This window comes from Homo sapiens, chromosome 20, assembly GCF_000001405.40.
Source record: "Homo sapiens chromosome 20, GRCh38.p14 Primary Assembly".
NCBI classification, from domain to species: Eukaryota; Metazoa; Chordata; class Mammalia; order Primates; family Hominidae; genus Homo; species Homo sapiens.
In genome coordinates this window covers 18284314-18300430 of record NC_000020.11, presented here as the reverse complement: position 1 = coordinate 18300430, position 16117 = coordinate 18284314, and the positions used below count along the sequence as shown (strand labels likewise).

Genomic DNA, 16117 nt, shown 5'->3' with positions numbered 1-16117 from the left:
AGATTTTTATTCTTAATTTCCTGTATTACTGTCCTTTTTTTGTCTTTGGTTGATTTTTTCAATGCAACTTTTAAATTCCCATCTCACTTGCTTTTCTCTACATCCTACAGATATTTTCTTTGTGGTAACCAAGGGGATTACACTTAATGTCCTAAACTTTAAAAACTGAATTTGAACTCATCAGCTTAACTTCAATAGCATATAAAAACTGTGTTCCTATACAGCTCCATCTCCAACTCATTACTGATGTCACAAAATTACATCTTTATGCACTGTGTGGTCAAAAACATAGACTATTTTTTTTTAAATGCAGTAGTCTCCTAAGTCTCATATAGAGAACAAAAAGTGAAGTTACAAAGCACAGTTACAGTAATACTAGCTTATATTACTACCTGTGTATTAACCTTTAATGGAGAACTTAATTTTTTTATATGGCTTCATGTAACTGTCTAAAGTCCTTTTATTTCAACCTGAAAGACTCTTGTTAATATTTCTTGTAGGGTAGGTCTAGTGGTTGTAATCTCCACCAACTTATCGAGAATGTCTTAATTTCTGCCTCAGTAATGAAGGGCAGTTTTGCCAGATACAGAATTTTTGATTGGCAGGCTTTTTTGTTTGTTCGTTTTCTTTTAGCACTTCAAATATATCAACCCACTGACGTCTGGCCCGAGAGGTTTTTCGTAAGAAATTTGCTAATAATCTTATTGAGGATCCCTTGTACGTAGTGTTGCTTTTCTCTTGCTGCTTTCAAAAATCCCTCTGTTACCTTTGGCTTTTGATGCTTTGATTACATTGTTTCTCAGTGTGAGTCCTTTTGAGGTTTTCCTACTTATAGTTCATTGAGCTGCTTGGATGTTTATATTCAAGTCTTTCATCAAACTTGGGAAGTTGTCAGCCATTATTTCTTCAAACAATCTCTCTGTCCCTTTTTTGTCTTCTCCTGGGAATCCCATAAGGCATAGTTGATCCACTTGATAGTATCCCATAGTTCCCTTAGGCTCTGTTCACTTTTCTTTAATCTTTTTGTCTGTGTCCCTCAGACTTGATAATTGTCCTATCTCCTGGTTTGCTGATTCTTCCGTCTGCTCAAATCTACTTCTGAATCCCTCTAATGAACTTTTCTTTTCAGTTGTACTTTTTAAATCCAAAATTTATTTTTGGTTTATTTTTATGTTTTCTGTCTGTTTATTGATATTTCCATGTTGTTCTTACATTATTTTCTTGACTTTCTCCACATCTTCCTTTAGCTCTTTAAGATGGCTGTTTTAAAGTCTTTGTTTAGTAAGTACACTATCTGGCCTTTGTCAGGGATGTTTTCAGTTTATTCATTTTTTTTCCCCTTTGAATGGGTCATATTTTCCTCATTCTTTGTATGCCTTATGATTTTTGTCAAAAACTGGACATTTAAATCTTATAAAGCAGCAACTCTGTTAGAGTCTCCCTTTTGTTTTTTTGTTTTGTTTTGTTTTGTTTTTAATATTGATGTAGGGTGTCTCCATGCTAAGAATCAGCCTGAGGTGTAAGCTTAAGGTCTTCTCAGGTGTTTTCTGAGCCTGTGCCTTTCCATGGGTATACCTTCTACATTCCCCCATATGCAGTTGCTTTTCAATATACTAGTCCTCAAATATTTCGCTCTCAAAGGGGAAAAAGAGAACTTCAGTGGGGGAAAACAGACTCTGGCTCCTTAAATCCCCTAAAAGCCACTTTAGCCAGTGGGGGGTTGCAATTGGCTGAAGTAGCTTTCAGGGGATTTAAGTGGACCACCTCTGTGATCAGAAACAGCAATTAACAATCAGAACACAGATCCTCAATATTTGGAGTAAAGGGTCCTTATTGTCCACCATGTCTCCCACAAGCCATGCAGAAGCTGATCTAGGAATATAGGACAGCTACCTGCCATAGGGCTGGCAGGGTGGATGACAGGTAGCTGCTACTATACTAAGAGCTAAAATTAGCTGTGACTTACCCTCCATGCTTCCTTCCCCCTGGGAACTGGAGGCCTTCAACTAGACTCCAGAGTTCCAAAATAGGTACACCTGATAGATCCTGCCAGTATAATCGTTGTCTAGGTGGGGACACAGATTCCAGAATCTTCCCGTTCCATTACTGTGACGTTACTCTCAGGCAGCAGAACTTTTGAAGCTGAACAAAGAAATGCAGACTCTATCTCATACTGTAGAATTGTGTGTTGTTCAGTTTACTAGGTGAATAACTGTGTCATGGGTTTTGCAGAAAGTGATGCTGAGGCAGGGGAGCAAGTAAGAGGAATTGGAGCTGAACTCTACTAGGCACCAATAAGGCAGTCAGGGTAAGAGAAGGGAATGTGTCCATCCTGTTACAGCCAGTAATGGAGACAGGAAACACTCACCATTCCCCTGGCTCTCCGGGACCCTGTGGCTTTTTTTCCTTATCTCCCTGAAGAAGGATGATATCTCAGAAGGTAGATCTGGGTAAGGAAAACAGAAATGGGAGGGTGTCAGGTAGAAATGCTCTCCCCATGAGTGAAGCAGGGCCTGCTCTTTAACCCCACAACTGGGGGCGCAGTGGCATAATGGGGAAAGTATAAAGCAAGGAAAAGATACTGCTTGGAAACAGCAAAGGAAAAGGAAAAACAAGCAAGAGAGAGTAATCCAGGGTCTTCCAAAACAAAAGAGAAAAACAAAAAACAACAACAAAGAAACCCCAAAGGATGCACCACCTCTCCTTCCCCTGCAATCCAGTAAAGAAACTGTACTTTGCTACACTGCCAGAAGCATTTTCCTGAACTAGGGAAATCTCAAAAACACTAGAATCTGACAGTTCTGTTTACAGAAATGCAGACACGCAAACAGTTGTAGTCTATTAAAAAAAATGAAAATGAGAATCCAAACAATTCAACTAAAGAAAATTCCACCAAAAAAAAAATGGTGAGACAGAAAAAAAATTTAAAAAACCGTAACATTAAGCTACATTAAATATCTTCAAACAAACATTTTGGGATATGAGATATACCCCAAATATGAGATCATAAATTAAAAATTCAAAAACTAAGAATAGAAATGGACAAAAAAAGTAAAGAAACAAAAAGATTTCAACAAACTTTTGAAAGAAATCAAAGAAAAAGACAATATTATATGATAAATGAAGACAAACTTATAAGACACTCAAGGAGGAATAGATTGAAATGAAAACATGACGAGCACTTAGTAATAGCCAGAAAACAAGAGAATGAAGTGAAATAAGAAGTAAAAAGGATCAGAGAGAAAGAAGCTGGAAAGGAAAACAGACAAAGAAGTAATATTCATATAATTAGTTCCTAGATACCAAAACAACGGAAATATTTAAAAGTATAATGTAAGAAAACATTTTAAAAACAATTACCTGAATCTAAATATGAAAGGGCCTATGGGATATGAGGGAAAAGTTGACTCATAACCACCAACTCTAAGACATGCACTAGAAAAACTATTAGACTTTAAAGAACAACAACAGGAATCCAAAGTGACTCTAAACAAAAAACATGAGTTCTACCAGAGTTTTTGAAATTATCATTCAACCACTGCATACTGCTGGTGGGAATGTAAAATGTGGTATACCCTCAAACCAGTATGGTGGTTTCTCAAAAAATTTAAAATACAATTATTATGTGATTCACCAATTCGACTTCTGGCTATATACGCAAAAGAACTGAAGGGAAGAACTCGAACAGATACTTGTGCGCTCATGTTCATACCAGCATTGTTCACAATAGCCAAAAGGTGTAAGCAACCCAAGCGTTGCTTACAATGGATGAATGAATAACAAAGTGATACGTACATACAATGGAATAGTATTCAGACTTAAAATGGAAGGAAATTGACACATGCTACAACATGAACCTAGAAGACATTGTGCTAAGTGAAATAAGCCAGAAGTAAAAGGACAGTAAGATTCCATTTATATGAGGTACCTAGAATAGTCAAATGGTGGTTGAGGAGAGGTGGTTGGGGTAAGGGAGAATAGGGAGGTATTGTTTAACGGGTATGGAGTTTCAGTTTGGGAAGATGAAAATATTTCTGGAGATAGATAGTGGTGATGGTTGTACAACAATATGAATGTACTTCATGCCATTGACTCAAACATGTTAAAATGGTAAATTTTATGTTATGCATATTTACCACCAAAAAAAAAGGTCTGGCCAAAAATCATCATTCAAAGCAAGACAGGATAGGGGAAATTTAGCAAAAAGACTGATGATGAGCATTTAATATACATAATTGTAAACTTAGAACTAAAAGGGGGAGAAGAAAGAGGAGGAAAACATGTGCTAATGTTATAGGGCATTGTGTCCTGATAAGGTAGAAATGCCACTCAAATAGAAGACACAGGAGAAGAAGAAAGTAGAAAAAGGTTGCTGATCATATCATAGGCAATAGGCAGGAATTAAAGGGAATACACAAAATGAAATTATAGAACTACTTAAAAATAACAGTAATAAAAAACACTACGTATATACAGGATTTATTTAACACAGTGAGGTAAGGGAAACTATAGCCTTAAGTACTTTTACAAATAAAAAGGAAAGAAAAAAATCCAGCCTGGGCAACATGGTGAGACCTCATCTCTACAAAAAAATTTTAAAAAATAGCCAGATTTGGTGCATACACACACCCGTATGGTCCCAGCTACTCAGGAGGCTGAGGAGGGAGCATCACTTGAACCTGGGAGGTTGAGGCTGCAGCGAGCCTGACTGCATCACTGCACTCCAGTCTAGGTGAGAGAGTGAGACCCTGCCTCAAAAAATAAATAAATTAATTAATTAAATTCCAAGCTCAAAAAGCTAATAAAATAAAGTAACCCAAAAGAAAGCACAAAGACAGGAATTAATAAAGATGAAAGCATAAATTAATGAACAGAAAGCAGTAGATCTAATGAGCCAAATCCTACTTTGTCAAAAAAAGTAGACAAACACTAGCTAACTGAAAGAGAGAAAGCATAAATATTCAACTAAGAAGTGACATGGATGTGAGGGCGATCTGGATGCGACATCTGTCACCACATTGATCACCAGTGTTGATCCAGCTGATCTGGCTGGCTAGGTGGGTATCCTCTTCCTCCCTCATTGCTCCATGTGCATCCCTCCGGAAGCTGCACACTCAGTCAAGGAGGATGACCATCCCACATAGGGGAGGACCAGTCTTCGGTCAAGGGTATACGAGTAGCTGTGCTCCCCTGCTAGAACCTCCCAACAAGCTCTCAAAATAAGAAATAAGAAAGGCAAAGTCACCAAAAAACATCTTCTTAAAAGTCATGTAAGACTACTTTGCAGACCTTTATATAAATAAACGTGTAGACCTAGATGAAGTGAATAACTCTCAAAATTAACTCCAGATGGTCACAAGGAAATTCTATCAAACCTTCAAACCAGGTAGTCCTTATGCTCCAAATACTGTCCCAAAGCATTGAAAACTAAAGGGAAAAGTTCTCATTCATTTTATAAAGCAAGGATACCATGAGGACCTTAACTTGATGACAGTTCAAAAACAGAAAATTATAGACTAATTGTCACTTACAAATATTGAAGCAAAATTCGAATTAAAATGTTAGCAAAAAGACTCCAACATCGCAATAACAAAATATTTCACCATGGCAAAGAAAAATTTACCCAGGATTGCAAGACTGGTTCAATTTTAGGGGATCTTTTATTATAATACACCACAATAATAGATGTAAGGAGAAGTCATGATTGCCTCTCTACATGTAAGATACTCTTTACCAAAACTCAACACCCCTTCTTCAAAAAACAAAACAAAAACTCAAGAATATAGAATTGATGGATTTTTAAAACTTTTTATTTTGTAACAAATTTTAGACTTACAAGGAAGTTGCACAAATATCAATTCCCATACCTTCCACCCAGCTTTCTCTAATGTTAACATCTTAGAAAATGATAGTACAATCATCAAAAGCAGGAAATTAACATTGACACAATACTATAAACTACAGACTTTAATTAAATTTTGCCAGTTTTTCCACCAATGTACTTTTTCTGGTCCAGGATCCAACTGAGGTTTCCACATTGCCTTTAGTTGTCATGGATCTTTAACCTCCTCCAATCTGTGACAGATCCTCTGTCTTTTCTCATCTTTCACGAACTTGGCGCTTTTGAAGGGTATCCCTCAGTTTTGGTTTGTCCGATGTTTTTTCATGATTAGAACGAGTTTTTCACTTCTGGTTAGAATACCTCAGATGTGATGCTGTGTCCTTCAACATATCAATGAGTTCATGATATTGTTATGTCTTTTTACTGGCGATATTAACCTTGATCTTGATCACTTGGTTAAGGGGGTGTCTTCTGAGCTTCTCCATTGTAAAGTCACTACATTTCCCTTTATAATTAATAAATATCTTGAGGGAGATACTTTGAGATTATACAAATATCCTATTTCTCTTCAAACTTTCAGCCACTAATTTTAGCATATATCTGTGGAACCTATCTGCAATAGTTATTACTGTGCTGTTTACCAAATGACAAAGTTCTTTTTCCCCCTTTCATTCTAAATCCATTAATTAGAATTCTTCTGTCAAAGCTGTTCTGTCTCCCCATTTATTTGTATCCAGTTATTTACTTATATCAATATGGATTTATATCTTATCCTATGGGTTATAATACAATAGTATCACTGTTTATTTTGCTGTTAAAATTATTCCAGCTTTTTCCCCCTTTCATTCTAAATCCATTAATTAGAATTCCTCTGTCAGAGCTGTTCTGTCTCCCCATTTATTTATATTCAGTTATTTATTTATATCAGTATGGATTTATATCTTATCCTATGGGTTATAACACAATAGTATCACTGTTTATATTGCTGTTATAATTATTCCAGCTTTAAACATTGGGAGCTCTTCCATTTTGGCCTTGTTCCTGCTTTAACCAATAAATTTGACACAAGTGACACTGTGCCAGTTACAGGCTTAAGTCCTAAGAAGGCCAGACAGCTTTCACTCTTGGGAGCTCTAACGTACCACGTAACGAGTTCAATCCTGCTGGAAGCCCTTACACTACCTGGAGAGAGTGAGGCCTGCTGTCCCAGCTGACCCCAGCCTTCCAGCCAACCCACGAAAATATGTGATGGAACCCACGAAAATATGTCAAATGTGTGACGGAACCATCTTGCATGTTCCAACCCAAATGAGTCCCCAAATGACTGCAGCCATAGCAAGATGCATCACTCACATCTCAGCTGATCACATCCGCTTTGGGTAAACCCAAAGAACTGTGGGAGATTAAAACATAGTTGCTCTCCTAAGCCACTCAGTTTTAGAGTGGTTTGTTGTGTAGCAGTCAATAACCAGAACCCTTGCTGGTTATTGACATACTGCGCCCTCTCTCTTTCAGCTTACCTGATAACAGAAGCATCTTCCTGTCATCCATGGCACTTACTCAGTCCCATGACTACTTCTCTCTACCTTCCATATCAAACCAATTATCAAGGCAAATGGATTCCACCTCTGCCAACTCTCTCAATTCCTCCCCACCCCTACACCAGTTGGAGCACCAGGACAATGGCAAAAGCCTCCTGCCAGTCTCTGTAGACCATTTCCCAACATCCTAGTCTGCCTCATCCATTACTCCTATGGATTATGCCTTCATTTGGCAAGTATTTATTATGCTCCTACTGTGTGATAGGCACTATTTTAAACCCTGGGGATACAGAAGTGAACAAAGACAAAAATCTACCCTCACTGACATGAAAGTCTAGAGGAGAAAGATGGGCCAATTACATGAATAAATAAAATACACACTGTATCAGAAAGTGATGAGTGGCATGAAGAGAAATAAAGCAGGGAAGGAGAAAGGATAGTCACAGAAGTGGGGTGAGGTTTTAGAATTTTAGATAGGGTGATTTGGGAAGGCATCTCTGAGGTGACTGAGTAAAAATCTCAAGGATGTGAAGAGCCCAGGGAATAACTTTGAAAAGAACATCTAGGGCAAGAGAACAGTCAGTGCAAAGGCCCTGATGCAAGGAAGAATCAGGCTGGCATGGCCAAGGGACGGACAGTTCACTGTGGCTGGTGTGGAGTGACTGAGATAGTGTGGTACAGATGAAGGCCAAGAGTAAATGTAGGGACATCAGACCTAGCTTTGTAGGATACTGGTTTTGACTTTGGTTAGGATGAGAAGCCACTGGAAGATTTTGAGCAAACACATGACATGATTCGATTTACATTTAAAATCTCCTTCTATTTGCTCCACTGATTCATGTACCTTAGCGGGACATAGGCAGAAACAAAGAGATCACTGAAAGGCTATGATCGTCCAGATGAGACGGTGGCCTGGACCATGGTGGAAACAGCAGGGCATGGAAACTGTCGGAGTCCAGATTTCCGTAGTGTGGATGAGGGTATAAGAGCAAGACAGGATCAAGGATGACTCCTTGATGACTCCAAGCAATCTGAAGGAAAGAGCTGAAATGCTTCTGCTCCAAGATAAACTCTTGAAAGGATGGTCTATATACCACTGGGGTGGAACATGTTCAGGGAAGGTAATCAGAGTTTCTTGTTGCACACATTAGTTTTGGGATGCCCATAAGATATCCAAGTGGGGTGGCACACACCTGTAGACCAGATACTCAGGAGGCTGAGGCATGAGAATCACTTGAAGATGGGCAGTGGAGGTTGCAGTAAGCCGAGATTGTGCCACTGCACTCCAGCCTGGGCGATAGAGCGAGACTCCTGTCTCACTAAAAAAAAAAAAAAAAATCCAACTGGAAATGTGAAGAAGGAGACAGTAGGGGACCAGGATGTGAGTTGCACACAGAGCTCTAGGCTGAGCCTCAGACAGATGGCATTTAAAGCCTTGAGAATGAACGGGAGAACCAAGGAGACAGTATAGCTGAAGAAGACAGGAGGTCTAAGAACTGAAGCAGGGCCTTTTCCACGGTGGAAATTTGGGAGGGAAGGAAGAGCCAGTAAAGGAGACAGAGGAGGAGCAGGCTATGAGTTAGGAGGAAAACCAGGAAGACCTAGTACCAAGAGCAACTGTGTGAAAGGATATATTAAGAAGGAGGATGTAAACAATTACATCAAATGTTGCTGAGAACTGATTGTGGCCTTTAGTCAAGGAGACCATTGGTAACCCTGACAAGAATATTTTTTGGTGTCACTTGAAAAAGCCTTACTAAAATATTCGAAACATAACAGAAGGATAGCAACGCAGACAACAAACATAGATAATTCTTTCAAGGAGTTCAGCTCTAAATGGGAGGAAAGACAAGGCAAGAAGGTGAAGAAGAGACAGGAAGCTAGGGCAGTGCAGAAATGGAGACAAAGGGAAAGAAAAGGAATCGAGAAGAATGCACAGGTGGAATAGGAGGATACAACTTTTGTTTTGTTTTGAGGTGGAGTCTTGCTCTGTTGCCCAGGCGACAGATTCTCCTGCCTCAGCCTCCTGAATAGCTGGGATTATTGGTGTGTGCCACCACGCCTGGCTAATTTTTGTATTTTTAGTAGAGATGGGGTTTCACCATGTTGGCCAGGCTGGTCTCGAACTCCTGACCTCAGGTGATCTGCCCGCTCTGGCCCCCCAAAGTGCTGATTACAGGTGTGAGCCACTGTGCCCGGCCAGGAGGACACAACTTCTAATGGGAAGTAAGTTTGGAAACAAGGATGCAAGGAAAACTCAGAGGTCCAGCTTATATCAAGTTATAAGGCTGTCAACACAGATCAGCAAGATCAGAAGAAATAGGAGGAGAAATGAGGCAGAGATAGGGAAAACTGGGATGCTGTTTCCAGATACTTTTCCCTCTCCTGCCTCTGACCAGGGCTGTTCTGACTGGTGGAAAAAAAAGATTTTTTTTTTAACAATGGGGGAAAACAATATGGGCTAGATATTAAATGATATTAATAAGTTATTAATTTTGTTGGGTATAACAAAATATAATTGTAACAATGTAACTGTATAACAATGAAATTGTGGTTATGTTAAAAAAAGAAGTCCTTATGTGTTAGAGATGCCTCCTGAAGTGTTCCCAGGTGAAATGATATAACTGGGATTTGCTGCCAAAACTCTAGCAGGGAAAAGAGTAAGTGAGAGTATTGGAAGACAGAAGAACAGAATGTTAACAACTTCACAGGACCTGACAAGCCCTGGGAATGAGCAGTCTGAACAAATACTGAAAGAAGGAATGTAGGGGAAGAATATAGGTGTAATGAATGAGAGCATCAGCTCTGAAAAATATTCCCTGTGAAAATGATCACTCTTAAAACAAGCCTAGTTTCCTGAAGGAACCAGCTGGGGCCCTGATCCCTGGATGGGACATTGTAGAACACAGACGTCAAAGCTGAGCAAAAGAAACCCACTCATGGTTCGAAATGCAAAAGGTAAGTGGCACCCACCTGAAGCTGGGCTGTCAGGAGCTCAGGAGTACCCCCTTTCCCCAGCAGGCAGTCCTCTCTGGGCAGACAGGAGCCACAGGGAGGCAGAACAAGAACAAAAAGCGTTCAAGAAAATCAAGGGAAATCCTCTCCAGCAGGGCAGTACCTCCTATTCCTTAACAGCATCAGGAATGAACCTGCCACAGAAGAAAAGGAGAAAAGAACTGCGGGCAGCTTCCTGGGAACACAGCTGGGGTACAGGTTGAAAGCACGACCTGCCCTGATATGCTGTTGACGCTGAGCATGAAGCGACCTTCTCTGTGCCTGTTATTAATGAAAGGTAATATTCACTGAACACTTAGTATACACCAGAGACTGTTACAGCCACTGTAGGAGTTTCACCTCATTCTATCCTTTCAACAACCCAATACGATAGATGCTATTATCCTCTTTAGGATAAAATCGAGGAAACTGAGGTACAGTGAAGTCAGCATCTTGCCCAAGGTGACACAGCTATAAAGTGACAGAGCCTAGAGGAAATGTGGCTGTGGAGACCGTGCTCTTACACAGTAAGGGCAGTGACGGTGAACTCTGGATTGCAAGGATTCTCTGTGTCCATTCTGAGATGAATCAAGATTGGTCATAAGGTTTTAAGTGTTGAATCTGGGTGATGGAGATCTGGTCTATAGAGTTCTATCTACTTCTGGCTGTTTGAAATTTCTCCGCAATAAAAACTTAAATGGAATGTAAAATCCCAAAGCCTGGCCACACCAGGGGCCTGGGAATCCGTAATTCTTGCGATCAATGACGGTCCCTGGGACCTTTGGAAAAAACCTGTCCTGTGCGTCCCAGCCAGACTTCCTCCTCCAACGCCCGAACCCGGGGGTGACCAACCAAAGTGAAACCCTAAGATCGCGGCAAAATGGCCACCCCAGATCCAGTCTAACCTTGGCTTGTTTGGTCAAGCCAGACCGCTCCTCATTCCACTCCAGCAAAGCCGAAGAATAGTGTGGCCCCAAGAGACTAGCCCTCAACCGACCAATGCCTCGGGGACACATGGCCCCAGGGATGGTTCCCATTCCACCACCTGGGAAATACCATTCCCCCAAAAAGCTTATTTATTCAACTCCCCCAAAACCGGGGACTTATGGCATCAGCGACTCCCTTTCCCAATACCCGACTTCAGCCAAAGCCGAACCTGTCCCCACCCACAAGAACCCTAGGAGAGAGAGCCCGATCCCCCACTCATCACCATCCAGTTTCACGGATGGGCTTCACCCAACTCCCCTGGAGATGCACGCCCACACCCCCAAAATAAGACATCTGGGAGAGGACGGCCTGCGCCACGCCAGCGCGTTCCCACCACAATCACCACCCCCGCGCCACCCGCACGGTCCCCAAATTCAGCCCATAGTCCAGCCTTTCGGGACCTTCCTTTTCGCGCAGAAAAGGGTACGGCTGCGGCAAGGGTCCCGCGGGAGCCTCACTCACCAGCGCCACCAAAGAACAAGGGGTCGCTCCAGCCACCAGCTGGGGAGCTCCTCCAGCGGGGCGCCAGGACTACACTACCCCGAATCCTCGGCACAGCGCCCGGACCACACCTCCCAGGATGCTCGGCGCCACCAGGCGCGCCCTGAAGGCCGGCAGCTCCCATTGGCCTCTGACGGATCCGTTTCTGAGTAACACGCTCCGGTCACCGGAGAATGGCCACTGTGGCACCTGAATTCTCCCTCTTTTTTCTTAACCACGTGCATAAAACACGTAGGAGCTCCCGAGAAGAGTGCCTGGCCCTACTGTGACCCTCCTTCTGAGCGCCTCTGTCTCGAAAACTACACTTCCCAGTGACCCCTGGAGCGACTTCCGCACCCGGTACCGGCCCCGCCCCTTGGCGCGCGGAAATGACGTTTCGGGGCGCATCTGTTCGGCTTCTGGGGTTGGCGGAGGTGTACCGCTGGCTGACCAAGCTTGTTCAGGTGCTGGTTTGTGTTGCAGCGGCCTGTGGTCTCCCTGGCTCCAGCCGCCTGCTTGGAAAGTCACGCCCCATATTCCTAAACACCGGGCGAACGTCATGTCGTATACCCTTTAGCTCCATTTAAAGCCTTGAAAAGGCCGAGCAGTCTGCCTGAAGTCTCACATCCCGTACGAGGTAGACCCGATTCTGAGCCCACGCCCTCAACCCGAATACACCTTTTCCGGTGCCCTGAGACCTTTTTCTTCTTTTTGAAATCCACGAAGTTATTGTTAAACTCTCATCTCCTGAGAAGCAGAAGCCTCAGTCTCGGGCCAGAGCTTGGCCTGCCGTCGGCTTGGATCTCTAGGTCTTTGTCCGGGATCCTGGTTGAGAACAAGATTGCGCTGGTGCCATCTGGGACGCCCCATCTGGGGAGCTCGAGGGGAAGGCCCACGTCACTCTTGAGAGGGCTTTTCCACCCGTGCACCCTCTCACTGCCCTTCACCTTCCTCAGATAGGCTTTCTGAAACTTTGTCATTCTCTTGGAAGACCAAGAAAATGACCACTGTCTGAAGGGCCAGGGAGATGAGAATTTCCTAAAATTCTTTTGTAGCTCTCAGAGGGTGAATCCATTCCCTTCTGGTACCCCGAGGCTACATTATTTATTGTGAATTCAGTTCAGTCCTGGCTCCGGAGACATGTCCAGTGTCAATTGGATTCATCCCTCAACATCATTCTCTGCCTCATGAGTCAGTCATCACCAAGAAATTAGTTGTTAATACACATAAAGGTTCAGAACAACAATGCAGGGATGCCTGTGTTCAAGTGTTCACTTGTGCTGGCTGTACAATAAAGACACAGATGGCTGACATCTCTTAAGCCTGGAAATGAAGACTTACAGGATGAGGTGCTGCCTGAGGAATTAGGCAAGATGAGGAGTTGGAAGAACACAGACGAGTAAGGAAGAGTGTAGGAAGTGTGAACAGAATCTCAGGGTCTGAGCCACTGGGTGGACTGTCATGACCACAGTGAGATTTTCAGCAGCACGTGGTCTTGCAGCCAGCTGACTTGCATATAGACAGGGATGCTAGATGTCCACCGTCTAGATGTACAGCTCTGTCATACAGATATTTGGTGTGTCCAGCCTCCAGTTTCATCTTTGACAGACCTCAGCATTTAATAATTAGGAGTTTCCATCTAGAAATCTGGATTGCCTGCTTTCTAAAACACTCTTTGCTGCCATGTCCTCTTTTTCTCCTGGCATTTCCCACCCACTCCATGCCATACCTCATCTGGAATACCCTTAGCTCCTCTGAATCCATCTGGTCCTTCAAGACCAAATACCTAGCTCTCTTTCGTGAAACCTTCCCTGATCACTATACTATAGTGACTACTTGAGACTCTTCTAACCCTGGCTGTACTTGGAAGCTTTTAAAAATACAATGCCTGAACACCACCCCAAGAAATGAGTTTGCAGTGGAGCCTGGGCATCCATTATTCATAACAGAGCTGTTTTCCTCTTGAGAAGGGAAGATGTTGTGTAATAATGTAGAAGAGAGATCTTGTTTTGGAAAATCAGAAGTTTAGTTATTGGTTGTTGCTATTTCTGAACCATATACCTCGGTAGATCATTTAACCCAGCGCTCTCAAAAACATGCATACATGTCACTTGGGATCTTGTAAGCAGCAAATTCTGAATCAGAATGCCTGATGGAGCCCAAGCATCAGCATTTCTAATAAGCTTCCAGATGATGCTGGTACTGCTTGTCTTCAGACCAGACTGGGTAACAAGGCTTTAAACCAATCAGGGGCTCAGATCTTTAAATTGAATATAAGCAGCTAGATTAAAGAATCTCCAAATTCCTAAATCTCAGAAAGACCATGATTCTATACTTATATTTTCTTTTAATATGTTATCTATTAAATGTAAAACACCTCAAGGTTAGGAATTGTGTTTTCATTTGTAAAGCCCATAATAGCCAGACTAGGATCACAGCAAGTGATGCTGGTTGGATAGTGAATAGGGTTAATGGTCTTGGAATCCAAGCTCCAGAGTTACAGTCAAAAGCAGGACCTAGATATTTTACCTATCTTCCCCAAGGCAGCCCTCTTGCTCCCTTGTTTTCAACATGGGCACACATGTCAACAGAGTGAGCGGAGCTGTGTTTGGCATAATGGTTTTTCATAATATTCAAGGTTGTGGCTGTGGATTTCATCTAAGAGGTATGAAGCCTGTGGAGTCCTGCTCAGAAGGACCTATACTGGGAGATGGTGCTGGAAAACTATAGCAATCTGGTCTCACTGGGTGATAATGGCTTCTCTTCCAGCTTAAAATCTGACCCACTGAGCAGCTTAAATCCCTCATGCAGGTAAGGCAGTGCATGGAGCAGCTGCCAGATATAGCTGACTTTTGCCTTTTGAACTTGAAAATAAAGACAGGTTATTCATATTTCCCCAGGGAAGGTCAGGTTTTTTTGTTTGTTTGTTTGTTTTGGTATAGTTGAGAATGGGTAGATAGGGGTGTGTGTGTGTGCACGCACACACACCGCTCTTGAGAATTTGCTTTGTCTTTGGTTTTCAGCAGTTTGACATTCATGTGTCTAAATCATTTGTTGTTGTTTGGTATTAATCCAGTTTGAGGTTTATTGAGATTCTCTAACCTGTCAGCTATTGTTTTTCATTAAATTTAGGAACTTTAGCCATCATTATCTTTAAATAATTCTCAGTTTCTTCTCATTTTGGATAATTCTTTCTCAATTTCTTCTCCTTTTGAGTCTCCACTTACACGTATGTTAGACCATTTGATATTGTTCCCGAAGCTCTATCCAATTTTCCTCAGTATGTTTTTCTGTTTGCCAGATTGGTTTCTATTGACCTGTCTTCAGGTTCACTGAAACTTCCTTTTGCCATCTTCAATCTTTTAAGCCCATCTAGCAAATTTTAAATTTTTATTTGTTACATTTTTAGTTCTAGAATTCCCACTTGTTTCTTTTTAAAATAATTTCCACTGAGATTTCCACCCCCATTTGTTTCTTTGTGATGTGTGTATTTTTCTTTAATATGTTTATGCTAGTTTCTGTAAAGTCTGTGTGCTGAAACCTCTGGACCATCTCAGGATCTATTTCTGTGACTGCCTTTTTTTCTTAACAGTGGGTCACACTTCCTGTTTTTTTGCATGTCTAGTAATTTTAAAGTTTTTTTATGCAGGACATTTTTTGTGGCATGATTCTAAATTCTCTTACGTTAGTCTGAAAGTGCTTTTTTTACCTGTAGGCAGTTTAATTACTGGATGAATGTTTTGAACTTGTGCAGGCTTCATTTTATTCTTTGTTAGGATAGATCTTTGAAAGGTCAAAGTGTTTACCAGGCTCCTCTAACTTGCAGGACTCAAACTCCAAGTTCTTTAACCCATGCAGATATTTTTACGTCCTTAATTTAGTTCCAGTTAGAGCATATCTTGAGAAGACCTTACTATAAGATGTGGTCCTTATTTTATGGCATGGCCTCTCTGGTTTCTCAGCTGAATGATTGAGGTGTTAATGAGGTTTGTTTATTCTGATTGGGCTGGAATGCCTACACTCGCCAGCCCTGCTAAACTTCTAGTATTTCCATTCTTCTCTCAAGCAGCTGTTTTCTGGTAATCATTGCATATTTACCCTGCACAAGCAAAGCTCAACTTCAGCTGAGGTGGGCTTTCCCCTCTTTGCACAGCTGCCTCCTTTCTGAGACCTACCCTACCAGTGTCATCTGCTTCACCATCCCTAAAGTCTTTTTTGCCTCCTCATCTCAGTGAGACTAGTGTGTCTTTCCCCCACCATCCCATATCATGGT

At 41.8% G+C, this 16117-nt stretch overlaps 1 protein-coding gene and 1 pseudogene across 58 annotated transcripts in view, besides 4 other annotated features; one reads left to right on the top strand and one right to left on the bottom strand.

Annotated features, from left to right (window-relative positions):
• Positions 1-11904, bottom strand: part of ZNF133 (zinc finger protein 133) — a 28470-nt gene extending 16566 nt beyond the window's left edge. For 19 of the 58 annotated variants that reach the window (NM_001387302.1, NM_001387311.1, NM_001282997.3 and 16 more), the window contains exon 1: positions 11827-11904. Coding sequence is in view for 3 of the 58 variants with exons in the window: in NM_001282996.3 (NP_001269925.2) it covers positions 2369-2371 (3 nt within the window). In the remaining 55 variants the exon portion in view is untranslated. Of the gene's footprint in view, positions 1-1966; positions 2143-2368; positions 2447-10356; positions 10533-11826 lie in introns of all 58 variants that reach the window. The other 39 variants (NM_001352460.2, NM_001352462.2, NM_001352464.2 and 36 more) reach the window with 5 other exon arrangements.
• On the top strand, positions 4980-5218 carry RN7SKP74 (RN7SK pseudogene 74; annotated as a pseudogene).
• Positions 11172-11291: an enhancer, noted in NCBI's record as "active region_17583". NCBI's record gives its function as "activates an Ori minimal core promoter by ATAC-STARR-seq in GM12878 lymphoblastoid cells {active_cell/tissue: GM12878}" and the evidence as "EXISTENCE:reporter gene assay evidence [ECO:0000049][PMID:35858748]".
• Positions 11297-12202: an enhancer, noted in NCBI's record as "H3K27ac hESC enhancer chr20:18268873-18269778 (GRCh37/hg19 assembly coordinates)". NCBI's record gives its function as "activates a minimal SCP1, AML or CMV promoter by ChIP-STARR-seq in primed H9 embryonic stem cells {active_cell/tissue: H9 hESC(primed)}" and the evidence as "EXISTENCE:reporter gene assay evidence [ECO:0000049][PMID:30033119]".
• Positions 11852-12191: an enhancer, noted in NCBI's record as "active region_17582". NCBI's record gives its function as "activates an Ori minimal core promoter by ATAC-STARR-seq in GM12878 lymphoblastoid cells {active_cell/tissue: GM12878}" and the evidence as "EXISTENCE:reporter gene assay evidence [ECO:0000049][PMID:35858748]".
• Positions 12282-12331: an enhancer, noted in NCBI's record as "active region_17581". NCBI's record gives its function as "activates an Ori minimal core promoter by ATAC-STARR-seq in GM12878 lymphoblastoid cells {active_cell/tissue: GM12878}" and the evidence as "EXISTENCE:reporter gene assay evidence [ECO:0000049][PMID:35858748]".